Source organism: Homo sapiens, chromosome 6 (assembly GCF_000001405.40).
Source record: "Homo sapiens chromosome 6, GRCh38.p14 Primary Assembly".
NCBI lineage: Eukaryota > Metazoa > Chordata > Mammalia > Primates > Hominidae > Homo > Homo sapiens.
Window position 1 is genome coordinate 26,007,010 of NC_000006.12, and position 26,845 is coordinate 26,033,854.

General features: G+C 42.1%; 6 protein-coding genes and 1 pseudogene across 6 annotated transcripts, besides 19 other annotated features; 3 read left to right on the forward strand and 4 right to left on the reverse strand.

The window, feature by feature from the left end:
• Positions 8,971–9,970: an enhancer, noted in NCBI's record as "NANOG-H3K27ac-H3K4me1 hESC enhancer chr6:26016208-26017207 (GRCh37/hg19 assembly coordinates)". NCBI's record gives its function as "activates a minimal SCP1, AML or CMV promoter by ChIP-STARR-seq in primed H9 embryonic stem cells {active_cell/tissue: H9 hESC(primed)}" and the evidence as "EXISTENCE:reporter gene assay evidence [ECO:0000049][PMID:30033119]".
• Positions 9,098–9,832, forward strand: H3P26 (H3 histone pseudogene 26; annotated as a pseudogene).
• H1-1 (H1.1 linker histone, cluster member) lies at positions 10,023–10,778 on the reverse strand. Its single transcript, NM_005325.4, has one exon. The coding sequence runs from the start codon at positions 10,721–10,723 to the stop codon at positions 10,076–10,078; it is 648 nt and encodes a 215-aa protein (NP_005316.1). The 5' UTR covers positions 10,724–10,778; the 3' UTR covers positions 10,023–10,075.
• Positions 12,954–13,770: an enhancer, noted in NCBI's record as "NANOG-H3K27ac-H3K4me1 hESC enhancer chr6:26020191-26021007 (GRCh37/hg19 assembly coordinates)". NCBI's record gives its function as "activates a minimal SCP1, AML or CMV promoter by ChIP-STARR-seq in naive H9 embryonic stem cells {active_cell/tissue: H9 hESC(naive)}" and the evidence as "EXISTENCE:reporter gene assay evidence [ECO:0000049][PMID:30033119]".
• Positions 13,442–13,949, forward strand: H3C1 (H3 clustered histone 1). Its single transcript, NM_003529.3, has one exon. The coding sequence runs from the start codon at positions 13,481–13,483 to the stop codon at positions 13,889–13,891; it is 411 nt and encodes a 136-aa protein (NP_003520.1). The 5' UTR covers positions 13,442–13,480; the 3' UTR covers positions 13,892–13,949.
• Positions 13,771–14,587: an enhancer, noted in NCBI's record as "NANOG-H3K27ac-H3K4me1 hESC enhancer chr6:26021008-26021824 (GRCh37/hg19 assembly coordinates)". NCBI's record gives its function as "activates a minimal SCP1, AML or CMV promoter by ChIP-STARR-seq in primed H9 embryonic stem cells {active_cell/tissue: H9 hESC(primed)}" and the evidence as "EXISTENCE:reporter gene assay evidence [ECO:0000049][PMID:30033119]".
• Positions 14,105–14,204: an enhancer, noted in NCBI's record as "active region_24172". NCBI's record gives its function as "activates an Ori minimal core promoter by ATAC-STARR-seq in GM12878 lymphoblastoid cells {active_cell/tissue: GM12878}" and the evidence as "EXISTENCE:reporter gene assay evidence [ECO:0000049][PMID:35858748]".
• Positions 14,235–14,284: an enhancer, noted in NCBI's record as "active region_24173". NCBI's record gives its function as "activates an Ori minimal core promoter by ATAC-STARR-seq in GM12878 lymphoblastoid cells {active_cell/tissue: GM12878}" and the evidence as "EXISTENCE:reporter gene assay evidence [ECO:0000049][PMID:35858748]".
• Positions 14,588–15,403: an enhancer, noted in NCBI's record as "H3K27ac hESC enhancer chr6:26021825-26022640 (GRCh37/hg19 assembly coordinates)". NCBI's record gives its function as "activates a minimal SCP1, AML or CMV promoter by ChIP-STARR-seq in naive H9 embryonic stem cells {active_cell/tissue: H9 hESC(naive)}" and the evidence as "EXISTENCE:reporter gene assay evidence [ECO:0000049][PMID:30033119]".
• Positions 14,625–14,854: an enhancer, noted in NCBI's record as "active region_24174". NCBI's record gives its function as "activates an Ori minimal core promoter by ATAC-STARR-seq in GM12878 lymphoblastoid cells {active_cell/tissue: GM12878}" and the evidence as "EXISTENCE:reporter gene assay evidence [ECO:0000049][PMID:35858748]".
• H4C1 (H4 clustered histone 1) lies at positions 14,640–15,041 on the forward strand. The gene has a single exon (NM_003538.4). It carries the CDS (start codon positions 14,670–14,672, stop codon positions 14,979–14,981), a length of 312 nt encoding a protein of 103 aa, NP_003529.1. The 5' UTR covers positions 14,640–14,669; the 3' UTR covers positions 14,982–15,041.
• Positions 15,005–15,234: an enhancer, noted in NCBI's record as "active region_24175". NCBI's record gives its function as "activates an Ori minimal core promoter by ATAC-STARR-seq in GM12878 lymphoblastoid cells {active_cell/tissue: GM12878}" and the evidence as "EXISTENCE:reporter gene assay evidence [ECO:0000049][PMID:35858748]".
• Positions 18,652–18,946: an enhancer, noted in NCBI's record as "tiled region #4264; K562 Activating DNase matched - State 5:Enh". NCBI's record gives its function as "activates a minimal TATA promoter and a strong SV40 promoter by Sharpr-MPRA in K562 cells {active_cell/tissue: K562}" and the evidence as "EXISTENCE:reporter gene assay evidence [ECO:0000049][PMID:27701403]".
• Positions 19,887–19,936: an enhancer, noted in NCBI's record as "active region_24176". NCBI's record gives its function as "activates an Ori minimal core promoter by ATAC-STARR-seq in GM12878 lymphoblastoid cells {active_cell/tissue: GM12878}" and the evidence as "EXISTENCE:reporter gene assay evidence [ECO:0000049][PMID:35858748]".
• H4C2 (H4 clustered histone 2) lies at positions 19,887–20,274 on the reverse strand. Its single transcript, NM_003544.3, has one exon. It carries the CDS (start codon positions 20,241–20,243, stop codon positions 19,932–19,934), a length of 312 nt encoding a protein of 103 aa, NP_003535.1. The 5' UTR covers positions 20,244–20,274; the 3' UTR covers positions 19,887–19,931.
• Positions 19,967–20,026: an enhancer, noted in NCBI's record as "active region_24177". NCBI's record gives its function as "activates an Ori minimal core promoter by ATAC-STARR-seq in GM12878 lymphoblastoid cells {active_cell/tissue: GM12878}" and the evidence as "EXISTENCE:reporter gene assay evidence [ECO:0000049][PMID:35858748]".
• Positions 20,047–20,366: an enhancer, noted in NCBI's record as "active region_24178". NCBI's record gives its function as "activates an Ori minimal core promoter by ATAC-STARR-seq in GM12878 lymphoblastoid cells {active_cell/tissue: GM12878}" and the evidence as "EXISTENCE:reporter gene assay evidence [ECO:0000049][PMID:35858748]".
• Positions 20,343–20,928: an enhancer, noted in NCBI's record as "NANOG-H3K27ac-H3K4me1 hESC enhancer chr6:26027580-26028165 (GRCh37/hg19 assembly coordinates)". NCBI's record gives its function as "activates a minimal SCP1, AML or CMV promoter by ChIP-STARR-seq in primed H9 embryonic stem cells {active_cell/tissue: H9 hESC(primed)}" and the evidence as "EXISTENCE:reporter gene assay evidence [ECO:0000049][PMID:30033119]".
• Positions 20,929–21,513: an enhancer, noted in NCBI's record as "H3K27ac hESC enhancer chr6:26028166-26028750 (GRCh37/hg19 assembly coordinates)". NCBI's record gives its function as "activates a minimal SCP1, AML or CMV promoter by ChIP-STARR-seq in naive H9 embryonic stem cells {active_cell/tissue: H9 hESC(naive)}" and the evidence as "EXISTENCE:reporter gene assay evidence [ECO:0000049][PMID:30033119]".
• Positions 21,514–22,099: an enhancer, noted in NCBI's record as "OCT4-NANOG-H3K27ac hESC enhancer chr6:26028751-26029336 (GRCh37/hg19 assembly coordinates)". NCBI's record gives its function as "activates a minimal SCP1, AML or CMV promoter by ChIP-STARR-seq in naive H9 embryonic stem cells {active_cell/tissue: H9 hESC(naive)}" and the evidence as "EXISTENCE:reporter gene assay evidence [ECO:0000049][PMID:30033119]".
• On the reverse strand, positions 24,580–25,090 carry H3C2 (H3 clustered histone 2). The gene has a single exon (NM_003537.4). The coding sequence runs from the start codon at positions 25,049–25,051 to the stop codon at positions 24,641–24,643; it is 411 nt and encodes a 136-aa protein (NP_003528.1). The 5' UTR covers positions 25,052–25,090; the 3' UTR covers positions 24,580–24,640.
• Positions 24,727–24,956: an enhancer, noted in NCBI's record as "active region_24179". NCBI's record gives its function as "activates an Ori minimal core promoter by ATAC-STARR-seq in GM12878 lymphoblastoid cells {active_cell/tissue: GM12878}" and the evidence as "EXISTENCE:reporter gene assay evidence [ECO:0000049][PMID:35858748]".
• Positions 24,997–25,116: an enhancer, noted in NCBI's record as "active region_24180". NCBI's record gives its function as "activates an Ori minimal core promoter by ATAC-STARR-seq in GM12878 lymphoblastoid cells {active_cell/tissue: GM12878}" and the evidence as "EXISTENCE:reporter gene assay evidence [ECO:0000049][PMID:35858748]".
• Positions 26,054–26,683: an enhancer, noted in NCBI's record as "NANOG-H3K27ac-H3K4me1 hESC enhancer chr6:26033291-26033920 (GRCh37/hg19 assembly coordinates)". NCBI's record gives its function as "activates a minimal SCP1, AML or CMV promoter by ChIP-STARR-seq in primed H9 embryonic stem cells {active_cell/tissue: H9 hESC(primed)}" and the evidence as "EXISTENCE:reporter gene assay evidence [ECO:0000049][PMID:30033119]".
• H2AC4 (H2A clustered histone 4) lies at positions 26,083–26,609 on the reverse strand. Its single transcript, NM_003513.3, has one exon. It carries the CDS (start codon positions 26,557–26,559, stop codon positions 26,167–26,169), a length of 393 nt encoding a protein of 130 aa, NP_003504.2. The 5' UTR covers positions 26,560–26,609; the 3' UTR covers positions 26,083–26,166.
• Positions 26,467–26,566: a silencer, noted in NCBI's record as "silent region_16998". NCBI's record gives its function as "represses an Ori minimal core promoter by ATAC-STARR-seq in GM12878 lymphoblastoid cells {active_cell/tissue: GM12878}" and the evidence as "EXISTENCE:reporter gene assay evidence [ECO:0000049][PMID:35858748]".

The following is a 26,845-nucleotide window of genomic DNA, read 5'->3' on the forward strand; positions in this document are numbered from 1 at the left end:
ACAACTCCTCCTCCTCCTCCTTCTCCTCCTCCTCTTCCTCAAGTGTTTATAATGATACAACTCCTCCTCCTCCTTCTCCTCCTCCTCTTCCTCAAGTGTTTATAATGATACAACTCCTCCTCCTCCTCCTTCTCCTCCTCTTCCTCAAGTATTTATAATGATACAACTCCTCTTCCTCCTTCTCCTCCTCCTCAGACCTTTGCTCCTTTCCTGGCTGCACCATTTCCAATTTATTTTCATGAAGCTCTGATCCCTGTTGACTAATTTTCTTCCCTTAAGTGAGACAGAAAGCCTAGATGAGGCTGCAGTGGGAAGAATTACCTTCTCCCAGCTGGGATAAGACTCTGGCAAAATGTTTTCCCCTTGAGAGTAGGCCTTTGTTTTGAAGAAGGTTCTGGGGTGTATTTCATAATAATTCTTCTCTCCCTGCCAAAGCCACAAGAGGATCCTTCTCAGATCTTCACTGCAGGAACCTGGTGGGCTTTCTGATGCCCACAAAAGTGTGGGAGCTTCTCACTCTCATGGGCATTCACAGTTGGCCTCCAGCTTTTTGTCAGAGTTACCAATTTAAATGTTCTCAAATGTGATACTGTCTCAACTTCCAGGACATCACACACTCATGATTTTCTACTATCCTGACATTTGCAGTCTTTTTAGCAGATCTCCCTCCCTCTCCCTGCACCATGGGTATTGGTCATCTCAGGATCTGTCCCAGGCTTTCTACTCTTCATGCCCTTTGAGACAACACATGATCTGACCTGCCCTTTCAGGAAGAAATGTTCTGTCTACCTACTTGCTCCAGTTAAAAACCCTAGTGTCATCTTTGACCCTTCTCATCCCTACATCTAATCTGTTGATTCTACCTCCTAATTTTCTCTCAAACGCATCTATTTTTCTTCAATTTCAGTGCTACTCTCTTGCTCTAATTGTACATCATCTTTTTTAGAATTACTGTGACATTTTCTTGCCTCCAGTTCTGCCTCAGTCCATCCACTTCACAGCTAAATTTTGGATGTACACTTTTGAACTATTACTGTAGCAAAAGTAATATGTAATAACTGTAATGCAGAAATATAAAATATGCAATATAAAAGAAATACATGCATAAATGATCCCAACACTAAGGAAACAATATTGATCAATAATTAAATAATTGGTGGATAGTGAATGACAACATAGAGCAAAGTGTTCAGTAGGTTTTAAAAGCTGTGGGTTCAATAAATGCTCATGAAGCTTGTTCAGGGGCTTGCAAAATATGTAATTTGAATTTTTAAAGAAAAGGAATTTCAGATAAGAAAAAACATACATAACATGAAACAATACTTGTGGTGGTTTCAGGGAGGTCATGTTCTCACATTCAGGTGCCAAGGCCACCGTACATCCGGACACTGAGGCCACGGACTTGGTCTGCAACCTCCATGACAGCCTTGTAGATTTGAAACCGAACTCCAAGGAGCAGTTGTGCTGTGAGTTCCAGAGTTTGGGGACAGAGGAAACACCATTCTTTGGAAGTCTAACTTCCTTAAGAGGTGTCCCTTAGACATCTAGTGTCCGGTGTTATGGAGGTCCTTGTGCTCTGAGGAAGGAGCCCCTTGTTGATTGATGGAGCAAAATTTTTTTAAACAAGGAACTGTACCCGTATCTGGGCATGAAGCCAGAGAAATCCCTGAGGGCAGGGCCAAGGCTCTCAAAGATTTTCAGGGAGATTCCCAGCCTTTTTAAGTCTCGCCTATTCTTTTTTTTTTCTCTAACTGGCCATTTTGTATATATGGAGGTTATTGATTTTTTTGCTTTTATATCCTGATATTTTAATAACTGTTCATTTTTTAGTTATTTGAATTATCTACATTGATTATTTGAATGTTCTTTTTTTTGTTTTTTTGAGACGAAGTCTCGCTCTGTCGCCCAGGGTGGGGTGCAGTGACAGGAACTTGGCTCACTGCAACCTCTGCCTCCTGGGTTCAAGCGATTCTCCTGCCTCAGTCTCCTGATTAGCTGGGATTACAGGTGCCCGCCACCACACCCAGCTAATTTTTGTATTTTTACTAGAGATGAGGTTTCACCATGTTGGCCAGTCTGGTCTCAAACTCCTGACCTCAGGTGATCCACCCACATCGGCCTCCCAAAGTGCTGGTATTACAGACATGAGCTATTGCACTTGGGCTTTGAATTTTCTACGTATCTGACTTCTACGAAGAAAACTATAATGTATTACTCAGATAAATTAAACAGGAAAACTAAATAATGGAGGAGTATATTTACAGTTGAAGCGGTCAATATTTTAAAGGTATTAATTGTCCCCAAACTGATCTACAAAACCATTGTAATCCTAATCAGATTCCCAATAAGCTTTATTATAGAAATTGACAAACAGGGTTCAAATTTAATACACAAATCCAAGGGCCCAAAATAAACAAATCTGTTGCTTTATTAAATATCAAAACTGATAAAATGACAATAATCAGGGCAGTGTTGTCCAAAAATAGACAAACGAATGGAACAGGCTCAAACAAATATGGACATTGATTTACATCTAAAGTGGCACCATACAACAATGGTGAAAGGACTCTTGTAAATAAATGGCATGGGACAATTGTATAGCCTTTTAAACAGAAAAAGAACAAAAAGGAAAAAAAAAGAAACTTGACCCCCTACTTCACACTATACACAAAAAACAATTCCAGGGGAACTAACATGAAAAGCAAAATAAAGTTAAACATGAAAAGCAAAATAAAGTATATGGTAAAAAATTTATCTTACCCAAAAAGAGGTCTAGCCTTTGCCCTCAGCTACTGGGAGATGAATTTTAGACCCTTGAAATGTTCTCACTGATAAGTGTGTCTTTGTTTACCTGGAGGTTTTGACCACCACACAGTCAACAATGTGATTTATAATAGGAACTTTGAGCCACACAGTATCAGCTCTACCTGTGGAGGTAGACTAAAAGATCGGCCATGTGAGCAGTCAACCATGGCAGGCCATTAAAACTGCACACTGAGGCTCGGGTGAAATACAGTTCTCTTGTATACGGTTTCTACATGGTTTTAGTTCCTGTGGTCTACTGCAGTCCAAAAATAATAAACGGTAAATTTCAGAAATAAACATTCACCTAACTTTTATACAGTATATTCTTAACAATTATTCTAATTTATTGTTATTAATCTCTTACTGTGCCTAATTTATAAATTAAGCCTTATCATAGCTGTGTCTGTATAGGAAAAAACAGCTATATAGAGTTCAGTACTATCCATGGTTTCAGACATCCACTGGAGGTCCTGGAACATATGTTTTGTGCATAAGTGGGGACTGCTCTGTACGTCATGTGTATTGTCACACATTAATGCTGGGAAAGTAATACTGTTCATATTACTGGGAGAGGACAACTGGAAGCTCATATTTGGAACTTGCCTGGATTGTGCCTATATTAGTTTCCTAGGGCTGCTGTAACAAAGAGCTAGAAGCTAGGGTGGCTTAAAACAACAAATATATTCTCTTGTAGTTCTGGAAGCTAGAAATCTGACATGAAGGTATCATTAGATCTATGCTTCCACTGAAGCCTGTAGGAAAATCCTTCCTTGACTCTTCCTAGCTTCTCGTACTTGCTGGCAACCTTTGACATTCCTTGACCTGCAGCTGCATAACCTCAGTCTCTGCCTGTGTGTGTCTGTCTTCACGTGACCACCTTAGAAGAATACTAGTTCTATTAAAAAATATATATATACTACTTCTTCTAAGTCACCAGCCCATCATACTGTACTATAACCTCATCTTAACTAATTATATCTGCAACTATCCTATTTCCAAATAAGGCCACAATTCTGAGGTACTGGGAGTTGGGACTTTAAACATATCTTCTGGGGGCAAGGGAGATCTGCATACAATTCGATCCATAATACTGCCTTGTGTGTTTCTTTTCTCAGCTGATTTTAATCTTTATTCCTTGAGTTGTTTCCCCTTTTCAACTATTACAAACAATGAATTTTGCTGTGTATGTGTCTTGGTATATATGTGCACACATATCTGCTGTTTGTATACCTCAGAGTGAAATTGTTGGGTCAAATGCTAAAATCTTTTTAAAAGTAGTTGTATAATTTTACATTGCATTGGAATGACATAATAAGCTATATATCCTATAATAAATTGTAACCATGAGGCTAACAGCTTCAGCAAGTTCTGTGAGTCCTTTTAGCAAATTACTAACCTAAGGTTGATTGGGAACCACAGACCTCCCAACTTATAATTGGTGTTAGAAGTGAGGGTAGTCTTGAGAACTAATTTCACAAGAAGGTATTATAAAATAAGATCTTCATGACCTTGAAATAGAAAATGATTTTTTAAATAAGATACAAAAAAGGTTGTGCATAAAAGGGCAGTGTGCTTAATTTGAGTACACTAAATTAATGACTTTAATGCATCATGAGATATCATTGGCTGGGTGCAGTGGTGGCTCACACCTCTAGTCCCAACACTTTGGGAGGCCAAGGTTGATGGATTGCTTGAGCTCAGGAGTTTGAGACCAACTTGGGCAACAGCACCATCTCTACAAAAAAATACAAAGATTAGCTGGGCATGGTGGCCTGCACATGTAGTCCCACCTACTAAGGAGGATAAGATGGGAGGATCGCTTGATCCTGGGAGGTGGAGGCTGCAGTGAGCTGTGATTGTGCCACTGCACTCCAGCCTCTGACAGAGTGAAGACAAGTTACAGAGGAAATACCTGCAACACATAAAATGGATAAAGGGTTCGTGAGCAAAATTTAAAAACTTAAAACAGAAAAGACAGGCCAGGTTTGGTGGCTCACACCTGTAATCTCAGCATTTTGGGAGGCCGAGGCAGGTGGATCACCTGAGGTCAGGAGTTTGAGACCAGCCTGGCCAACATGGTGAAACCCCGTCTCTATCAAAAATACAAAAATTAGCAGGGCGCGGTGGTATGCACCTGTAGTCCCAGCTACTTGGGAGGAGGAGAATTTCTTGAACCCAGGAGGTGGAGGTTGCAGTGAGCTGAGACAGCGCCACTGCACTCCAACCCGGGTGACACAGCAAGAGTCCACCTCAAAAAAAAAGAAAGGACAAAAAGGACAAAAAGACAGCTATCTTAAACCAACAAGAAAAAACACAATCTTTTTGGCCTAAATTGTGTTCCCCCAAAATTGATGTTGAAACTCTAACACCCAATGTGCCTATATTTGGAGATAGGGATTTTGGGACTTTATGGAGATATTTAAGGTTAAATGAGGTCATAAGAGTAGGCCAGTAGTCTGATAGATCTGGTGTCCTTATAAGAAAAGGAAGAGACATGAGGTCATTTTATGGGCATATGAAGAGGCCACATGAGGACACAAAAGGCGACTGCTGTGGTTTGAATATGAGATGACATCTCACATCTGCCATAACAGTAAGAAGGCCCTTGCCAGAGGTGGGCCCCTCGACCATAGGCTTTATAGCCACCAGAATTGTAAGAAATAAATCTGTATTCTTTATAAATTATTTGGTCTCTGGTATTCTGTTCAGCACCAAACAATCTAAGACAGCAACTATCTTCAGGTCAATAAGAGAGCCCTCACTAGAAACTGAATCTCTTGGCACCTCAATTTAGGATTTCTGGCCTGGCCTTTAGAACTGTGAGGTAATAAACTCCTTTTGTTCAAGCTACCTAGTCTAGTATTTTTGTTATGGCAGCCCAAGTCGACTGATATACAATCCAATTAAGAAAAAATGGGCAAAAGATGTAAAATAAAACCATAATGAGATAATACTGCACATCTGCCACAATGGATAACATCTTCAAAAGATTAACAATTTTAATTGGAAAAAAATATTGGGAAGTATATGGAAGAACAGGAATTCCCAGCTAGATTCCATCAACATTAGGTTTGTGAGGTTCATCCATGCTGTTTATAACTGTGGTTTTAATTTTCATTTCATCGCATGTAAACCTAATATCACCACTTTCAAAAAGAGTTTAGCATTTGACCCAACAATTCCTCTCCTAGGTATACAAACAAAATATGTATTCCTATATATACCAAGACACATACACAGGAATATTCACGGTATTGTTTATATTAGCTGAAAAAGGGAAGCAAATATGCATCAACAGTAGACACCTAAATTGTTGCACTCATAACATGGAATATTACATAACAATAAAAATGAATTAAAGTTATACACAGCAACACAGATGAATCTATTCAAACCTAATGTTCTGGAGTGAAATATGTCAGGTACATAGGATTACATTTGTTTTATTTCCATTTTATATGTTTCAAAAACAGGCATACTAAATTACAGCATTGGAAATCAAAATAGGGGTTATGTTTAGGGCAGATGGAGTGATAATGTGACTGGAAGCAAGCATCAGGCGGCTCTGGGAGGGTTGGCTGATTTTCTGTTTTTTTACTTGTGTGGCAATTATTATGGTGTTCACTTTGTGTTCATTTATTGAGCTTTGCATTTTTGTTTTGCTGTGGTTTTCTGTTTATATGTTATGCTTCTCAGTTTAAAGAATGTTGAAATCTTCTAATACGAAATTTTTTTTCAATGAGAAGGATTTTAAGCATCCAGAATCAATTTTAAAATCTCCAATTTGCTTTATATGTAGGTTTATGGACTGCTTAACTGCTACTCATTTTTTCCTTCATTTATCAATAGTGAAATATGAAATTAAAATAATGACTATTTGTGGCAAAATTAGGGACTATGTAGCATATTAACAACTTTATAAATAAAAGAATAAATCAACTCACCTGGGAGTTGTTACTGTCATTGACCTAATGCTATTTCCCATGGTACTCCTTGTCCCCATTGAGAGACATGAGATACTGCAGATTTATGGGTCACTTTCAACATGTCTCCTCCAGGCCTCATTTTAGAGAAGCATAACATCATGAGGTTCTATACAGGCAAGATCTAGGCTTGTGTCCTTGAACCTTGCATTCCCTCTCAAGAGCCAACCAATAATTGAATGATCCTATAAAAAACACAGAAACACAGAGAATGGTAGCAGAAAGCGGATGCTTACCAAACCTATTTTCTCTTTTTCTAAGCAAGGAATAAGAATAACTTACCTTCCTCCCTTGGAGTTAGGAGTTCTTATGTAGAAAGGGAGGCAGAGTGACCTTCAAGAGAGTTTGGAAGGGGGAGTGATAAATCAGTTTAAAGAGAGCACCCACTGATTCTTAGATAACTTATTCTACTTTCCTTCTCACTCTTTTGCATTGACCATGGCTTAGAATATATTTGAGGAAAAGCATACTGTCCATAAGGTATTATTGCCCTTTAAAGCTGTTGGGGGGTACTATGGGATGGTATTCAGTGAGAGCAGGACAGAGTCTCTACAGAATTTTCTCTGACAAAACAAAAACTAAATGACTTCCAAGGCTTCTCTAGCTCTAAGCATTCCACAATTCTTTGGAAAGCTGGAATCTAAAATTGCCTTAAAATTAAAAAATAAGAACAGTTAGGGTGTACAGTCTTTACCATATTTATATAGAATCATCAGTCTTCAGTGTGATACTGTGCTTGAACCAACAGAAGGACTGATGAAACAGAAGACAAAGTCCAGGTCTGGCGCCATGGCTCACACCTGTAATCCCAGCACTTCGGGAGGCCGAGGTGGCCAGATCACTTGAGGCCAGGAGTTTGAGACCAGTCTGGCCAACATGGTGAAACCCCATCTCTCCTAAAAATACAAAAATTAGCCAGGCCTGGTGGCAGGTGCCTGTAATCCCAGCTACTCGGGAGACCAGAGGCATGAGAATCGCTTGAACTCAGGAGGCAAAGGTTGCAACTGAGGTCATGGCACTGTACTCCACCATGGGTGACAGAGTAAGACTCTGTCTAAATAAATAAATAAATAAATAAAATAATAAAATACAACCTAAAACCTAGCAATCTCAGCCCTGGAATTCTATTCAATTGCACCATGTTCAGCAGTGGTAACTGGAAACATCAATGCTTATCAATAAGAAATGGATGAATAACTTATGCTATTCCATGTGAAGGATTTCTTTTTTCATGACAGGGTTTTAGAAAAGTTTGGTTAAGAGAAAAGCAACATGCAGAAGTGTATATAACATCGTTGTAAAAAATTTTTATTATTTTTGTTTTGAGACTGGGTCTCATTCTGTCACCTAGGCTTGAGTGCAGTGGCACGATCTCTGCTCACTGCAGCCTCTACCTCCCAGGTTCCAGTCATCTTCCCACCCCAGCCTCCCAAGTAGCTGGGACTATAAGTGCGTGCCACTGGGCCTTGCTAATTTTTTGTATTTTTTGTCAAGATGGGATTTCACCATGTTGCCCAGGCTGGTCTTGAACTCCTGAGCTCAAGTAATCTGCCCATCTGGCTTCCTAAAGTGCTGGGATTACAGATGTGAGCCACTGCGTCCAGGCTTTGTTTTTTAAATTAATAACCCTAATCAAAAGACAAAACAATTATGCATACAAGGCCAGGCACAGTGACCGTAATCCCAACACTTTGGGAGGTCGATGATCACTTGAGGCCATTTCTAGACCAGCTTGGACAACATGGTGTGACTGTCTCCACAAAAAATAAAAACAAAAAGCCCGGCTTGGTGGTGCGTGCATGCAATCCCAGCTACTCCGGATGCTGAGGCTGCAGGATAGCCTGAGCCCAGGAGTTGGAGGTTACAGTGTGCTGTGATTATGCCACTGCAGTCCAGTCTGGGCAACAGACTGAGACCCAGTCTCAAAAGATAACGTGTTTTTTTTTTTTTTTTTTTAAAAAAACAAAACCACAAGTATGCATGTATATAGATAGGTGTATGTAAAATACTTAGTTCAAAGAAAAACATGTATATTTCTCACAAAAATAGGTGAGAATTTTTGTTTTAAAGGATAAACCTAGGTAGCTACATATTAGTTTGAGGAAGGGGGAACAGGGATGTGATGTGCCTGTATCCCTGACTTTAGACGATGGAAGGAGCTAAGCAAAACAATTGAAAAAAGACCGTTTGAAAAATACAACTGATTATTAACTCATATGCACACACGCAAAAATAAACTTTTAGAATTGAACTGCACTAAGTAAAAGTGAGTAAACTTGGCTCATCATATACTCTTGTCAGATGTAAACAAAAAAGTCCAATTATTAAAATCTGACCCCCAGAATTAAAATTGCAAAAGCTTAAAGGGGCAGTTCTGAGAAAAGGATCTTCAGTTTTGAATGTGTGGGCTCCACCAGGGTTGAAAATCCTGCACGACTGATGAAACACGATCCAGTTAAGCACAGTAATTTTCAAATATCCAATCAGGGCGCTTCCGTTTCTAAAAACAGAGAAACCGAGCAAGGGATTTTGGGTTGCAGCTCTAAAACTCCAACAAACTAAGCTCCTTTGTCCTGACAAGGGCCTAAACCAAGTCGACAGCCCGTAAGTGCACCCATGGTAAGGCGCTGCACAAAGAAAGCATTTTGCGTTTCAAAGCTTTGTCATGATGGCGCTGCAGAAAGCAAGCGAGCTAGGCCTACCTGGCGGGGCTTTCAGAGGACGCCAACGTGGGCGCCAGCCACGCCAGCAGGGTCACCGTCCTTCCCAAGGACAGACAGCTCGCTAGCCACTCCTGTGGAGAGGGCGTGGTTAAGCCATATATTTTGCCAACTATCCCAGAAGCATTTCTTAGGACCACCCAATTTCGGAAAATGCTACTTTAGCAATATTGACCCCAAAACGCAATATCCCCACTTTAACCTTGTATAATAAAAAGCCTCAAGCCTGGGACTGGGCTTCAACCTTGGTTCAATACGGTTATGACTAATTAGCTTGGAGTCGTGAGACGCGGGACTTCCGGCTACCGAAACCCAGGTGACTTTAAAACTCGATTTTAACTCGGTGCATTTGAATTCACCTTGCTATCTTTGATAGATTGAGTAGTAAATTCTTACTAGATGAGGCTATGTTAAAGTTCTATCGACTCTCCAAGTGATTCTAATATAATTGAGGGCGTGTTGCATTTGCTTGGGGGATTTCATCTGTGTACTACAGCTCTTTTCCTGAAATGCGTAGGTGGCTCTTAAAAGAGCCGTTGGGTTACTAGAAGAAACTTCTAACTGAATTTACTTTTTCTTGGGTGCCGCTTTCTTGGGTTTGGCAGTCTTTGGCTTCGTCACCCTAGCCTTGGCCGCCTTGGGTTTTACAGCCTTAGCTTTAGCAGGGCTTTTAGCTACTTTCTTGGGCTTTACAGTTTTGGGTTTTTTTGGATTCTTGGAGGATTTCCTTGTTGCCGCAGGCTTTTTAGCCTTTTTCGGAGTCTTGACGCTCTTTTTGCTAGCCCCCGTGGCCTTTTTGAGCTTTTTAGATGCACCCGTTGCCTTAGTTTTTGTAGCCACCTTTGAGGCGCCGGGCTTGGTTTCCACGGAGGACGCCTTCTTGTTGAGCTTGAAGGAACCCGAGGCTCCGGTACCCTTTGTCTGCACCAACGTTCCCTTGCTTACCAGGCTCTTAATGCCCAGCTTAATGCGGCTGTTGTTCTTCTCCACGTCGTAGCCTGCGGCCGCCAGCGCCTTTTTAAGAGCTGCCAACGACACACCACCACGCTCCTTAGAGGAGGAAGCAGCCTGCACGATCAGCTCTGACACGGAAGGGCCAGCGGGTTTTTTCTTGGAGGCTGCTGCAGCCTTAGCAGGTTTCTTTGCCTTCTTGCCAGCTAAAGGTTTCTCAGGAGCAGCAGAAGCGGCGGGGGCGGGAGGCACTGTTTCAGACATGGTGACTAACACAGCACACCAAATAAAGTGGTATAAACCTGACGAAGCAGGATGCGAAAAAAAGGCCCCAACGCAGCCTATTTATAGGGTGGGACTGCGCCGTGATTGGTGCCCGTCAGTGCCCGCCCCTCGCGCCCTAGCGCCCCCTGCGCGCTGCCGAGGGTTTCGCCCAGTCTCAGAAGGCAGCTGGGGGCCTCTAGGGCCTATGGTCCTGCTCCCCTCAACGCAAGCAAACACACAGAAAAAGCCGCTCTGGTTGCCTCATTGTGAAGGAAATTGTAGGCAGACTGCCGCCCAGTAACATCAGAGGGTACCGCTTCTCTCTCAAAAAGCAGCTCTTTTTTAGGGAGTAGGTTGAGAGGGGGCGGTTTACAAATGCAGTGCCACAAGCATCCGAGGAGTTTTATTAGAAATTTTTAGAGGTCCGTTGCCAGAGATGTTAGTTTTTAATTTGCAAGAAATGTAAAATACAGTGTTTTGAATAGTTGCGGAGGGAGAGAAAAGTGCGAGTTTTAGGCCGTGTTAGGGCCAGTTGTCATCAACTCTATTACATTTTCTGGCAATGTTTTAGAGCGATGTGTCTCGCGAATACCTTTCACGTCAAACAAGAATGAATCGTAGACAACACCAGAATTCACAAACGCTGCAATTAATACTCAAACTGCAAGTGTGGAAACGTTTCTGCACTTGCAACTTATTTCCACAGTCCAATGTGGGATGCACTTCAGGAATTTCCAATGCCCTTTTCATCCATACAACATGCCCCAAATTGGTATTAAGGTTTACAACCTGTGTTCCATGTCAGCACACGCAATCAGCGCACCATGACATGGTCAACTCATTCTTTTATTCAACAAATATTTATGGGCCTCACAAGCCTGCGAAAGGCGTTAAATGCTGGGTCCACGAAACCGGTTCCCTGACAGGCATTCTGCTGGGGAGTTAAGTCCACTTAGTGTGAAAGCAAACACGGGTGATAAATGCAAGCACACCCTGGGGATAAGATTTTATGGTAACAACCCTTTAACTTGTTTGTGGCTGTTAAGTGCATTTCAAAGTATCAATAAGCTAAAACGATCTCACATTGCCAATCAGAGACTCAGCTAATGGGAGAATAAAAAACTATTAAATCGACATCCACTTCTACAATCCTATTCTGGATAACCCCCTAGCACAGCACAGCAGAGAGTGAGGTAATGCGGTCTTATTTCCGCTCCTGCTGTGGTAGTTTTCAAATAAGTCCGAACCATGCTAAGTAACCTGAGCTTTTCCCCTTTTTGTTCAAACAACGTGCCAACCAAATAATGGAGTGGTCCCAGATAAGTATTGTACCCATCTTCTGCACCAGTGCTTCCTACGTCCCATTTTATTGAGAAGGCATGCATTCAAATATTTCACGTAATTTCTAAAAATTTGGAAAATAACGGTTGGAAACTCTACATCTTGGTTTGACGGCTAGTCAGTTATGAAACACAGGTATACAAAATTGGAAGATTTTTGTAAGTAAACCCTTTGTGAAAGATATAAACCTTTCTTAGTGTAATAAGCGAGGTATCTGAAAAAACGCAACTTTTGAAAAGGAAATACTCCTAATTATCTGATTCAGGAGTTTCCACTTTAAATAATGGGTTCTGCCTCCCTTTTTTCTATTGGGTTAAACTGGTTTCAAATAAAATGGGAACGCTCCATGCAAATGAAGGATGATAGATCTGCTTTCTAAATGGCTGTTCAAGAAAATAGCCTAAACCAATCAAAAGATAGAATGTGGCCTGTCTCTTGTGAATTTAAAAAGGTCACAATCCACTTTTCAGTGTTTTGAGATTTTCAAAATGATTGCATTAGCTCTTGGCAATGCTAAATTATGTTCCTTGCGAACCACTATCCAGTTTCTCTTGGGCCAAGTCCACCTCCTGCTCCGCAAGAGGAACAACTCCCAGCTGGTGGTACCTGGCGGCAGTGCTGGAGAAACGCCATTTTGTGACTGGCAGAGTACACCTAGGCTTTAGAAAACAAAAGCTGCAGAACGCTGCAAGTTTAGGATTCAAAGAGCATAATCAAGAGAAAGACGTCTCATAGAAAATGTTTCTGAGTAATAGTGTAATCCTACTATGTTTGAGATGCTTTGTAGATTTCAATAACACTCCTAAGTCAATTAAAGCATTACAAAGGAATCCAATTCTTGTGAAAGGTTTCAGAAATTCCCGTAAAGGGTACATTTCCGGAGAGGAGGTGAGCAGTATTCCCTCTTTTTTTTTTTTTTTTTTTTTTTCCTAAAGAGCTGAAGGTTATACGGAATTGGGGAATTATAATACCTTTGGAATCAATGCCTTGTTTTATGGAAAATAAACACAGCCTTCAGGTTATGAAAACCAGATGTAGAAGAGGACAAGTTTAAAAAATTAAAGTCCAAGCCGGCGCAGTGGGGCTCCCCTGTAATCCCAGCTACTCTGGATGCTGAGGCGGGAAGATCCTTTGAGCCCAAGTTTAAGACCAGCTTGGGGAACAAAGCAAAAGTAAAATAAAATAATAGTAGTAATAAAATACCACTTAAATAATCATCTGTAGAGTTGGAATAGAATATAGTAGCCGGTGAAACTGCACGATTGTTGCTGGCTTAAAGATAGACCAATCAGAGTGTGTAACGTCATATTTAGCGTCTTCTATCATCCAATCACTGCACTTTACACACTATAAATAGAGCAGCTCATGGGCGTATTTGCGCTAGTGTTGGGTGTTCCGCTGTGCTGTTTTTCCGTCATGGCTCGCACTAAGCAAACTGCTCGGAAGTCTACTGGTGGCAAGGCGCCACGCAAACAGTTGGCCACTAAGGCAGCCCGCAAAAGCGCTCCGGCCACCGGCGGCGTGAAAAAGCCCCACCGCTACCGGCCGGGCACCGTGGCTCTGCGCGAGATCCGCCGTTATCAGAAGTCCACTGAACTGCTTATTCGTAAACTACCTTTCCAGCGCCTGGTGCGCGAGATTGCGCAGGACTTTAAAACAGACCTGCGTTTCCAGAGCTCCGCTGTGATGGCTCTGCAGGAGGCGTGCGAGGCCTACTTGGTAGGGCTATTTGAGGACACTAACCTGTGCGCCATCCACGCCAAGCGCGTCACTATCATGCCCAAGGACATCCAGCTCGCCCGCCGCATCCGCGGAGAGAGGGCGTGATTACTGTGGTCTCTCTGACGGTCCAAGCAAAGGCTCTTTTCAGAGCCACCACCTTTTCAAGTAAAGTAGCTGTAAGAAACCAATTTAAGACAAAAGGGAATGCATTGGGAGCACTTTTCGTTTTAATGCTACTGAAGGCTTCAAAACCAATCGATTTCGGCCGGTCGCGGTGACTCACGCCTGTAATTCAAGCACTTTGAGAGGCTGAGGCGGGCGGATTACCAGAAATCAGGAGTTCGGGATCAGCCTGGCCAACATGGCCGAATCCCGTCTCTACGAAAAATACAAAAACACGCCGGGCGCGACGGCGAGCGCTTGTAATCCCAGCTACACTCTGAAGGCTGAGGCAGGAGAAACACTTGAACCTGAGAGGCAGAGGTTTCAGTGAATCGAGATGGCTCTAATGTACTCCAGTCTGGGCGACAGAGAGATTCGGTTAAAAAAAAAGTTCGACTTAAAATAATTCTGGAGTCAGAATGGGTTTACATTTAATTCTTAACCCAGTTCCTCAAAGCCTGTAGCTCTGTTAAGAAAATAAAGGCCATTGGTCAAGCCTGCTTGGTCCCACCCTCATCTCCCCACCCTCCCCCAATCGCTGCTCCCGCCATTTCCTGGGGCTTGGAGGAGGGGTTAAAGGAGCGGACTGTAGGCGTCACATTTCCCGCCTGCGCGCTTTTCAGTCTCAGTGTCCGCTGGAGGTGGGGGCAGGGGTAACGTAGATATATAAAGATCGGTTTCCTATTCTCTCACTTGCTCTTGGTTCACTTCTTGGGAAGTCATGTCTGGACGTGGTAAGGGCGGGAAGGGTTTGGGTAAGGGGGGTGCCAAGCGCCACCGCAAGGTGTTGCGTGACAACATCCAGGGCATCACCAAGCCGGCCATCCGGCGTCTGGCCCGGCGTGGCGGTGTGAAGCGGATCTCTGGTCTGATCTACGAGGAGACTCGCGGGGTGCTCAAGGTGTTTTTGGAGAACGTGATCCGTGACGCTGTCACCTATACGGAGCACGCCAAGCGCAAGACAGTCACTGCCATGGACGTGGTCTACGCGCTTAAGCGCCAGGGACGCACCCTTTATGGCTTTGGCGGTTAAGGTTGCTGATTTCTCCACAGCTTGCATTTCTGAACCAAAGGCCCTTTTCAGGGCCGCCCAACTAAACAAAAGAAGAGCTGTATCCATTAAGTCAAGAAGCTCAATGTGTAATTAAGATGAATGATACTGAGCTGACATCCTAAAAAGGAAAGATTAGGGGAACTCCAAGTTTGCCCTCCACTCACTACATATGGGTAGGGGAGCAACGATATTCCAACTCTGAAGAAAGAGTGGAAAAAAAGTAGTGTTAAAAATTTGTATTAGTTTCCAAGGGACAAAGAAGCGCTGCCCAATCAATGAGGGCCATTCGTAGCTGTCAACCAATCAGAACTGATGAGCTAATATTTCCTGAGGCAAGCCAGGGAGCCGGAGGGGAAGCTAAGAAGCTTATTGAGAAAAAACAAAAACCCTGTTTTAGGAAAAAAAAAAACCATCTTTTAGCGATTATGAAATAAAATCACAGAGACATTTAAGTATCCCTCAATCATGTACTGAGAGCAATACTAAATTTATCGCCACCAATACAGTTTTACTCTATTAAAAAGACCCTGAAAATTGAAACCCTATTCAGACTCCTGGAATACCCAGGACACTAAATTCAGGGGAGATTAAAATCTGTTTTAGAGAGAAAAGGCACCTTTTTCAGTGTTACCGCGGCCTTCAGCAGTTAACCTTTTTTTTTCCCCCTTTACGCAGAAATGGAAATTTGGGTGATAGAAATATTCCGAAATTAAATTGTGATGATGGTTGTACAACTAAGAAAACACGGTAAAATTCATTGAACTGTACCTAAAGTGGGCAAATTTTGTGGTACATTAAATATCAATAAAGCTGATTATATACATACACATATATTTTTATATATGCAGAGAGAGAAATGATGCAAGCAGGGTGGTAGGACATGAGGTTGGTAGCATAGGCAATGTTGGTCTGTGAAGGGCCACCTGTGCTAAACCTGGAAGCCTGGGGTTTGTCCAGTCAAGCCATGGTAGCCATAGTTTTAAAGGATGTTCCTGATGCAGTTATGTGTTCCAGTTAAGTACATCTAGCTTCAGAACTCAGCTGGAAAAGGGATGTGAACTTCAGGTTAGCTGATAGGGAAATATCTTACTCTCATCTGAGTAAATATTCACAAATGCCTCTCATTGTGCTCTTTTTGGTACCATTGTTATAGGACTGATTTCAGCCTCACGATGTTAGCTTCAGTGATGGATGTCTCTTTATTTTGAGGTCCTGTTTTCCACCTGACAGTTTTCATCCAGGATTTCTTGAGGAATTACACAAGTACCCAGCTTGGCTTAATTTAAAACTGACAATGGAGAGAATTCATAGCTGCATTCTGGATAGTTTCAGGAATCAGAGGAGCAAAAATGAGCCTGGTATGGAGGGTGGGTCATTTTATGTCTTTCTTAGTTGGTATTTTAAAGATATTTATTGATCTCATATGCCAGATATTGTTGAAATCATTGGGGTACATAAGTTAGAAAATTTTAATTCCCTTTCCTGAATTCCAGAGTCAATGTAGAGGGGTGTGTGGATATCGATTACCCATATGGGAGGTATAGTCGTTGTAACAATAAGCCACGACTAGCTCCTGTTACGTTTTGCCTGGCCTTTCATAGCATTGCTATGTTCATAGCATTGCTGATATGTCATACTCATCTTAGGCATACCCACCACCACCTTGGGCCTTCTTCAGTCCTAACACTCATGCAGTCCTTGTTCAGAACAAAGATAATGTTGCTTAATTTGCAACCCCTAGACTATCCCCCAGATTTTCTAAAGAGAAACTGCACGCTGATTGCTTCAGGCAGTGGCAGGTCAAGGAATGAGATGGGGAATTGATTGTGTTAGCATTCTGGTGGGCTTAGTGGAGAGCCTGGAGACTTACATAGAAAATTCACACATCCTTTCATTCAACAAACCTCCATAAACTACCTGTTAAACGTCAGCCCTGTTCAAGGTGCTAGGGATACTTCTGGGACAAAACAAAGTCCCTACCTTCAAAAAATATATTCCAGTTGGGGGAGAGAGAACAAACACAAAATAAAATATATCTAGTTATATGTATTTTTTGTTAAATATATTATTACATATATAATTCTAGGTGGGGAAATGTTATATATATATGCTATTGAGGATAGTCAACTATATATATATATGCTAAATGAGCAGAAAAGCTTATTTTACAAGGGATGATTATGGGAGGTCTCTTTCGTAAGGTTGGTATTTGAGGAGAGGCTTGAATGAAATGAGATCTAGAGCCATTCAGATATCCAGGACAAGACCCTTCTAGGGAGAAAGAATAGATATAAAGGTGCTGATGCTGGAAATGCTTGGTCCATTCCAGAAACAGCAAGGTCAGTGAAGAGAAAGAACTGCGAAGAGAATGAGGTCAGAGGGTAGCCAGAGTACAGATCTAGTAGGTTGAGCAGCTCATCCTAGTTTGCTTGGAACTTTCTAAGTTTCAGCACTGTAAGTCTTACACCCTGAGAAACCCCTGAGAGTCAGGCAAACTGTAATGGTTGGTCATCTTACTTGTAGGCTATGATAAGGATGCTGGTTTTTATTATGAAGGTGATGGAAAGCCAGTGGAATCTTTTCAGCAGACAGTGGACATAATACCTTCAAAAAGGATCACTGTTGATGCTGGATAGAGAAAAAACTGTATGACAGGGGGATTAAAAGTGAAAACAAAGACCAGTTTGGGGTCACTGTGGTCATTCAGACAAACCGCCATGGCAGCTTGCTCCTAGAGAAGCAGCAAAGAAAACAATGAAAGGTATTCTGATTGATTTTCAACAGAGCTGACTGCATTGGGTGAAAGTTGTAAGAAGCTCAGGACAAACAATATTGCACAATTCCTGGCCCAAGCTGCTTGAAGAATGGAGTTCTATTGATTGACATGACAAATATCAGAGGAAGAACAGACTTGGTGTTTACGTATAAACATATTTTGGACAAGTTCGAGATGCCCATTATTCAATTAGATACATCAAATATGCAGTTGTATATGAGTCTAGAGATTTAAGGTCAGGGAGATGGTTTATAATTGCAAACACTTATTTAGAGACACAGTTTCACTCTTGTCTCCCAGGCCTAAGTGTAATAGCGCGATCTCAACTCACTGCAACTTCTGCCTCCCGAGTTCAAGCTATTCTCCTGTCTCACCCTCCCGAGTAGCTTGGATTACAGTCGCCCGCAACCATGCCCAGCTAATTTTTTTTTTTTTTTTAGTAGAGACGGGGTTTCACAATATTGGCCAGGCTGGTCTCGAACCCCTGACCCCAGGTGATCCACCAGGCTCAGCTTTCCAAAGTGCCGGGATTACAGGCGTGAGCCACCTTGCCGGGCCTATATTTCTTAAGCTCTATGTTTCGTTCTGAAGCTTGAAGTGGGTGGAAGCAAACTGATAGAATTTGGAGAGGTGGTTAGGCATCCCGGGAATGAGAAACAGCCCGAAGCTGCCACTATCACAGGCTTTGGCATTGCTAGAAGTTAACGTGGCACTTACAGCTAGGCCGTGGTGTTCTGTTGAACAAACTATTTGACAGAGCACAGAGCATGTAAGTGGTGAGGCCAGTTGAGTTAGCCAAGAAAAGAGGAGTCCAAGAACTGAGCCAGAGTACACCAGAGTATGTAGTGGAGTACAGCTTTCTCATTCTTTAGTAGGGCTGTGTAGAGAAATACTCTATTTTATGGATGTATAGATCACTCTAGTCCTTTCTGATGAAAACTTTACAGTTGCCACTCATTTACTATTACAAACAATGCTGCACTACATTATGTTTCAGTTTTTAGCCATCTCATCTGGTCTCAGCATTTATTTATCTGCTGATGACTCACACATTTTTATCTCCAGCTCAGACCTCTCACCCGAACTCACTTATTCAACTGCCTATTCACTATATCCTCCTGTCAGGAGAAGCTTGTTAGCAAAGTAACCAGAAAACAAAGTTGATTTTTTTTGCTGAAGTAGCCATCAATATATTTGTTACTAAATCAAAGATGCTGAATATTTGGCTGACTTCTAAAAATCTGGTCACCTAACTTTGACACTTCCTAGGTCGTACAGTTTGAAACTTTCACAATTAAATCAGTTTTGGAATTTACAATTTAAGGCAGGAATAGAAGACTATTGGGTTGACAGGTACAGTGAAGATGCAAGTCATCTGAGAATCTTACATCAGAGGGGGCTTCCATCTTATAGCTGCTGCCACGGACCTCGGAGTCAGAAGAAATTTGAGTCCTTATTTATAAAACAGACTCCCTTAGTCTACTAAGTGGGAATTTACGAACTGCGTAGGCAGCCTGCTTAGGGGAGCCTCCAGCCTGAGGACTGAAAATAGCAAAGCAGCTTTAACCGCCAGTCCTACTCCAGAGAAGGGGGAGGTGACGTCACTCAGCAGGACGCCAAGCTCAACTAGAAATGGAAGTAAAGGCTTCTGGCGCTACCGGCAGGGGGCGGTTAAGGACGGCAGGTGTTACCAGGGAAGCTAAAAGTACAGCTTTTGCTGACGTTAAGTCAGATACGCCTGGGAAAACAGACCTGACACCCATTTTAATCCACCTACTCAGTTCCAGGCAGCTAGCATCTTAGGCTCTCGTACAAATAACGCACAACTCGTTTTTAAAACTAAAAAGCTGAGCTACTCATTTATCGGACTCGCGCTGCACGTTAAGTTGCTTGACATGTCAAAACTATAGCATTGAAGTTTATAGCTCACTTATCTCGGAGACCTCGTTTACTTAGCTGATTTCTGCTTTAGCAGCCACTCAGACCAAACAACCTGGTCTCTCCCAACTGGTTTATAATAGTTCTACATACTAGGCAGAATAGCCGAGTAAAGCCATTGAGATGTTACCATCCGAAAGAATACAATCACAGCTCTTTCTGAGAGGGAGTGGGCGGCCCTGAAAAGGGCCATTGGAAGAAAACTGACGAAAAGATTAACCGCCGAAGCCGTACAGAGTGCGTCCTTGACGCTTGAGCGCGTAAACCACATCCATGGCAGTGACAGTCTTGCGCTTGGCGTGCTCCGTGTAGGTCACGGCGTCCCGGATCACGTTCTCCAGAAACACCTTGAGAACGCCACGAGTCTCCTCATAAATCAAACCGGAAATTCGCTTAACCCCACCACGCCTAGCAAGGCGCCGAATGGCCGGTTTGGTGATGCCTTGGATGTTATCCCGCAGCACTTTTCGGTGACGCTTGGCACCTCCCTTACCCAAACCTTTACCGCCTTTGCCGCGACCAGACATGTCTAACCAGCTGACAACAAAAACCAGGTACGCGAAAAGAAAGCAAGCCACGAGCATTTATACACGAACATCGGACCTTATTGAGAACTGAAAGCGGGAGCGAGGATAAGGAGGCGTTGCTGCCTCACTTTTTGCTCCGCCCCTCGAGGGGCAGTGACCTAAGGACTGCGAGGGAGAACACAATAGTTTCACTTTTTAATCCCTTTAGTTTTTCCCTCCCGTTTACGACACTACTATTTGAATCTGAATTTATACCCTCGACTGAGAATTTTAATAAGGGCTTATATTAAGGGCTTTCACTAATATGCCGGAGTGGTAAACTTTTTAAGTCTTTCAAGTGCTTGAAGACATATTGACTATTCAAAGGTACTTAAAAGAGCAGGCGTGAAAAGATCACTCTGGCCTTATGTTTTCTTGAAAGCTGACCTGTTTCTTAGAAGCAGTAGGTGAAATTCTCATATGAAAGATGTTCTCACTGTAGTTTAAAAAAAGCAACATTCTTCTCAAGGATAGGAGGCTGAGGCCAAGAGAATTCTGTACAAACCTTGCACTAGCCCTTGCTGGGCGCTTCTCTACACAGTTATATATTCTAGCCTAAATCCCTTTGCTTTAGCGCATTTTTACATTTTACTAATTGTCCAATTCATTATATAAGTAGCTAACTGCTTTTTTTGGGCTTTCATTACCTTATGAGAGCACCTGTGTCACGTAAAACCTGTGTTAAATAAATGCATATACCTTTCTCCTGTTAATCCATTTTACATTAATTTAATTTGCTGGTCCAGCCAGAGCCCTAAGAGGATGGGAGTGGAGTTTTGCTATCCTTCACACTGTACTGTCTCATTCAGAAGAGGGTGATAGCTCATTGCAACCGTGCCTTCATCTGTAAATCGGGTTATGATGATACTCAGGGGACTTTTAATTAGCTAATGTGAACGAGGCATGAGAAGAGACTGTGGAAAAGAAATAAATATTACATAATATGGTTTAATTTTAGATGTTACTACTTAAAAAAATCTGCTCAGAGTTGGGATATTGTCCTGAACTCTCATTTTCGTGTTTTTACTCCCAACACTATATTGCTAGCAGCAACTATGTATGTATTAGTAAGGATTGTTTTTTTAAAATCACAGCCTGTAATAACGTACAAGGTGTTGACAGATTCCGTTTAGCTTTTCATATGTGACATGTTAAAATTGTCCGAAAATATTCCTTTGTTCTCTTTTCCAAGGTGCAATACAATAGCAGCATTCGTGCTTTCCTATAGCCAAGTCTGGAGTGTAGTTCAACTCTCCATACACGCTTCTCACTGTTGTTTTAAATTTCCTGAAAACATTCTTAAATCACTTCTATTGGAAAAACTGCAAGGGCTACTGCTAAATTTTTAAGTCTGAAAAATGCACCCCAAACTTGACTTCTTTCTCTGAGAATCTTAGCCATCTCACCCAAATCTAACAAACCAAAACTGATTTTAGACTTCAACAGCATTAGCTGTAAACTTCAGCCTGCAGCATAACATCACTTTGTTGTGACTGGGCAGGAAAAACCCTGTTAAACTGTTTCAGGCGCGTCCGTGTGAAGAGACCATCAAACAGGGTTTGTGTGAGCAACAAGGCTGTTTATTCTACCTGGGTGCAGGCGGGCTGAGTCCGAAAAGAGTCAGCGAAGGGAGATGGGGTGGGTCCGTTTTATAAGATTTGGGTAGATAGTGGAAAATTACAGTCAAAGGGGGTTGTTCTCTGGCTGGCAGGGGTGGGGGTCACAAGGTGCTCAGTGGGGGAGCTTTTGAGTCAGGATGAGCCAGGAGAAGGAATTTCACAAGGTAATGTCATCAGTTAAGGCAGGAACAGGGCATTTTCACTTCTTTTGTGTTTCTTCAGTTACTTCAGGCCATCTAGAGGCATACGTGCAGTTCACAGGGGATATGATGGCTTAGCTTCGGCTCAGAGGCCTGACAAACTGAACAACTGGGAACAAACAACATTTAATGCACACAATCTCTATCTTGTAGGGAGGCAAAATTTTACCTCTACTCTGTTAGGGTCTCCAGCTGGACCTGATAATTCATTTGCCATAAAACAGATTAGCAGAATGAAAGCATACAAATGTATTTAATGTAAATTTTATGGGACAGGAGAACCCTCATAAAAAAGTGAAGCCCCAAAGAAATGGCAAAAGCTAAATGCTTTCACATTAAGTTAAAGAGAGGCAATTGTGGGAAAGTAAACCATATGAGGAGATTAAAGGAATATATGATTATTTTAACAAGGTTTGTTTGTGTATAGAAGTCTCTCGGCTATGACTCCCTGCTGTGTTTGTGCAGAATTATCTCATCTATGCCTCTGGGCTGAAGAATATGTCTTTTCACCTGGTACAAGCAGAGCATTTTTCACATTGGAACTTTTATCTCCTGTTTTCAGAAAGAAAAGTTTAGAAGAATTCCCTTCTTGAATGCTGTTTTTGAAGTGCCTTTAGCTCAAAAGAATCCTGATCCCACAGTGGTCTATTTTTGGATGGTATATTCTGCAAACAACACCCCCTTTTTGTCTCCAATCTCTCCTTAATTACTCCTCTAATACAAAACAATAGATTCTTAATATAATATTAAAATGTTTGCACTACTCACAAATACAAAATGCTCAATAAATTTTCTTTCACAAATGAGAATTTCATCCATTCGTTAATTTTTAAATATCAACTGTCAATGAAGAGTTACAGCAGAATCCTTGTTCTGTTGAGGAGGGGGCAAAGAATGTAAGTGAGGGAGTGGAAAATAGCTGGACTGAGCTACCACCCCCTGTCCATCTGATCCTCAGACAGTAATGTAACTTTATTCTTTTATGCTATTCGTCAGACCCAGTACCTCCAACACATTTGTTTCCTACAGATAAAGAAAATATAAAAAGTCAAGCGCTATACATCAGATCCAGCACATCTATAACTGGAAAAAAAATACTTGACCTTCAGCTGGGCCCAGAGCTTGTGAGTAGTCACCTTGGCATAGACCAAGTCCATTGGCATCTCTAACATATCTATACTGTCTGTGGATAACAAATGTCTATGCCAGTTAGAGTCGCTTGTATAAGAGTCAAGAAAAACGAATCATAAAACAAACTGACATATTCATTTTCATAATTTTTAAAATGCAAATATTACTTTATAAACCAAAAACTGCCTTATTAAAAGCTGGAACACAAATGAATTTAAGTAAACGATGCAATTCAAATTTAATCTTTTGTGTGTGTGATTTGTTGTTGTTGACAGTTGGTCAGGCGATTTTAGTATGGTACATCAGTTTACATTCTAGATGTAGGCCAAGAAAGAATGTTAGGTGTAAAAAATATTTATTGTAAAAAAGAATGTGAGGCAAGGTCTTTGGAATTAGTAGTTTTAATGTTGGACATTCTGTGGTTGTTCTAAAGTTAGTCTGTAAAATGTGATGTAAAAGCTATATGATAAAAAAATACAAAATATAAAAATTTTAAAGTAAATATTACTTTTGTTTGCGTACAGTATTCCCATCCCTCTAAATTTTCTTCCAGTACTCAATCCCCAACCTCCAAAACCGAAAAGCAAGATCAACAGAAAGAAAATGGTTAAAACTTGTAAATTCTAGATTTTAATAACTACAGGCAAGAAGTACTGAAAAAAAGAATGTGGCATGTCATGGTGCATAGTCCTAGAGGAGACAAAGCAATGCAACCAGATAGACTATTTACAAGCAAAGCCACACATATAAAAATTCATATATAAGGGATTAAATTATGCTTGGTCGACAGACTGACAGATTTAAAGTGGGTAGCTAGCTATGGATAAAATGAGAGCCAGTTAGATCCCTGCCTCACATTTTGCACCAGAATAAATTTCAGGTTAATGTTAACAGCCAAATGAATTTAACAGTATATATATATATATATATATATATAATATATGAGAAAACCTAGGGGACTATGTATTGAGCTGAGAAAATCTTCCTAAGCATTTTGAGGAAGACACTGGAACTCGCAAGACACAATTTTCTAATCTTTTCAAAGCTTTGCAAAAATGCCTAGTAAGCGCCAGTTAACTACTTACCAGATTTTTCCCTTACTCTTACAAAGTTGTTTAAACAAATGCTAATCATAGCAAGCTAGAGGCCTGAATGATAGTGGACTTACACAGCTTCTCTCCAAATAGCACCTTAATAAGGTCAGAAATAACCTACACTGCAAGACTGACCAAACCGTTATTTCTGTTAATCAACTTTAAGACCATAGTCTAATGCTTTCCGGGGGGGTCCTTAGAAATTTGTTCTGTTAAGACAACAAAAAATTATCACAGCTACTTTCGTTGGAATAAGTGGGTGGCTCTGAAAAGAGCCTTTGGGTTTTAAGACTGATGAAAAAGTGACTTTACATTTACGCTCTTTCTCCGCGAATGCGGCGAGCGAGCTGGATGTCTTTGGGCATAATAGTCACTCGCTTAGCATGGATGGCGCAAAGGTTTGTGTCCTCAAAGAGCCCTACCAAGTAGGCCTCACAAGCCTCCTGCAGCGCCATCACCGCAGAGCTCTGGAAGCGAAGATCGGTCTTGAAGTCTTGGGCGATTTCTCGCACCAGGCGCTGGAACGGCAGCTTCCGAATCAGCAACTCGGTCGACTTTTGGTAGCGGCGGATCTCGCGCAGAGCCACAGTGCCCGGGCGGTAACGGTGAGGCTTTTTCACGCCGCCGGTAGCCGGCGCGCTCTTGCGAGCAGCCTTGGTAGCCAGCTGCTTGCGTGGCGCTTTACCGCCGGTGGATTTCCGAGCTGTCTGTTTAGTACGAGCCATGGCAAAACCACAGAAAAGCTTGCCTGCAGAGACGTCTGTGGAGGAAAGGAAAGAGCTACTCTTCTTTTATAGAGTCAGACCACCAACTATTGGACCCAAGAAAATTCAAAAATCCCCGCGCCCTTCTTGGATTGGTCCATCTCTGTGCCTGGTTGCAGATTAAGAGAGGCTCCTGCCCATTACCGTAGCTACTCTGACGTCATTTTGTTAACCCCTTAGCTGCTATATCCACTGTGGACAAGTCTTGTACTGGAAAAGTTTCCTGAAGTCTTAAAATTTACAACCACACAAAGCAACGCGGAAACCTCCAATTGTTTCTAGTTAAAATATAAAAAAGAAATCAGAGAATATTGGAGACGATTAGGGAAATTTGCATATGCGCTTTATTTAAAATTGTATTTTTCTGGGTGTCGCATAAGAAGTGTGGGCAATTAGAAAAATGCTCTTAGCCGGGCGTGGCGGCTCTCGCCTGTAATCCCAGCTACTCAGAAGGCTGTCAAGAGGATCGCTTGAGCCCGAGTTCGAGGTTACAGTGAGCTGTTATCACGCCGCTGCACTGCAGCTTGGGCGAGAGGGAGACTCCACCCCAAAACAAAGCAAAACATCCCCAAACTGGAAAAAAGCTCATTTTGGGAAATACATACTCAAATGTTCAGTGGTAATGTGTGTGCTCTCAATTGTGTATGCCATTAATTGCTACAGCAAATGGTATGACATATTCAAACTTGTGTGGGGCATGCGGGTTTTAACACTTCCATTCAAGATAGTTAGGAATGCACTCATGGGTATAATTTCCTTCCTCTAAAATGTAGTAACTGCTGTGTGTGAAACTTAACGCGAATCACCCCTGTAAACATGTTTTGTGCTGCATGGCACTTCTCCCACATACCTAGAATTCCTGAGGTTTCTATGGATCTAATTTCTGCAGGACAAATTACTAAAAGTGCCACACTCAAAGCCATTAAAAACACCTCAAAAACATCTTTATGGGCGGCATAATCCAAAGCACAACAGCTCATTTAATGGAAGTCGTAGGTGGCTCTGAAAAGAGCCTTTGCTGTTAGGCTGATTTTGTCTGCTGACAGAAAAACAGCAGTGCATGAAGCGTTAACTCTTCACTTTCCCTTGGCCTTATGATGGCTCTCAGTTTTCTTAGGCAGCAGCACCGCCTGAATATTAGGCAAAACGCCACCCTGCGCGATGGTCACACGCCCCAAGAGTTTATTAAGCTCCTCGTCATTGCGGATGGCCAATTGCAGGTGGCGCGGGATGATGCGGGTCTTCTTGTTGTCGCGGGCCGCATTGCCCGCCAGCTCCAGGATCTCGGCGGTCAGGTACTCAAGCACCGCCGCGAGATACACCGGCGCGCCAGCCCCGACGCGCTCGGAGTAGTTGCCTTTGCGGAGCAGGCGGTGCACTCGGCCCACAGGAAACTGCAAACCTGCACGAGAAGACCGAGTCTTAGCCTTGGCGCGAGCTTTACCGCCTTGTTTGCCGCGACCAGACATAACTACTTCTGATAAGGGAAAATCGCCACAAGAAAATGTAATGAAACTACATTAGAACGCAAGGCAGAGAAGTATTTATACTGACTGGAGGTAGGCTGTGAGGAATTCTCCCATTGGCTAATGTCAAATACCCAATGGGAAATCAGAATCTGCATCCTTCATTTGCATGTAATCCTTCCGTCTGGTGTAAGGTTTATGTTTGACCCAATCCCCAGTCTGGCTTGACGAGCCTTCGACTTGAATACTAATAATAATTGGCCGAATTAGGATTTTGTCAAAATACCTT

What these genes read in the sequence shown, in the direction of transcription:
- H2AC4 (NM_003513.3), bottom strand. Translation starts at nt 26,559, where the DNA reads ATGTCTGGTCGCGGCAAACAAGGCGGTAAAGCTCGCGCCAAGGCTAAG.
- H3C1 (NM_003529.3), top strand. Translation starts at nt 13,481, where the DNA reads ATGGCTCGCACTAAGCAAACTGCTCGGAAGTCTACTGGTGGCAAGGCG.
- H1-1 (NM_005325.4), bottom strand. Translation starts at nt 10,723, where the DNA reads ATGTCTGAAACAGTGCCTCCCGCCCCCGCCGCTTCTGCTGCTCCTGAG.
- H4C1 (NM_003538.4), top strand. Translation starts at nt 14,670, where the DNA reads ATGTCTGGACGTGGTAAGGGCGGGAAGGGTTTGGGTAAGGGGGGTGCC.
- H4C2 (NM_003544.3), bottom strand. Translation starts at nt 20,243, where the DNA reads ATGTCTGGTCGCGGCAAAGGCGGTAAAGGTTTGGGTAAGGGAGGTGCC.
- H3C2 (NM_003537.4), bottom strand. Translation starts at nt 25,051, where the DNA reads ATGGCTCGTACTAAACAGACAGCTCGGAAATCCACCGGCGGTAAAGCG.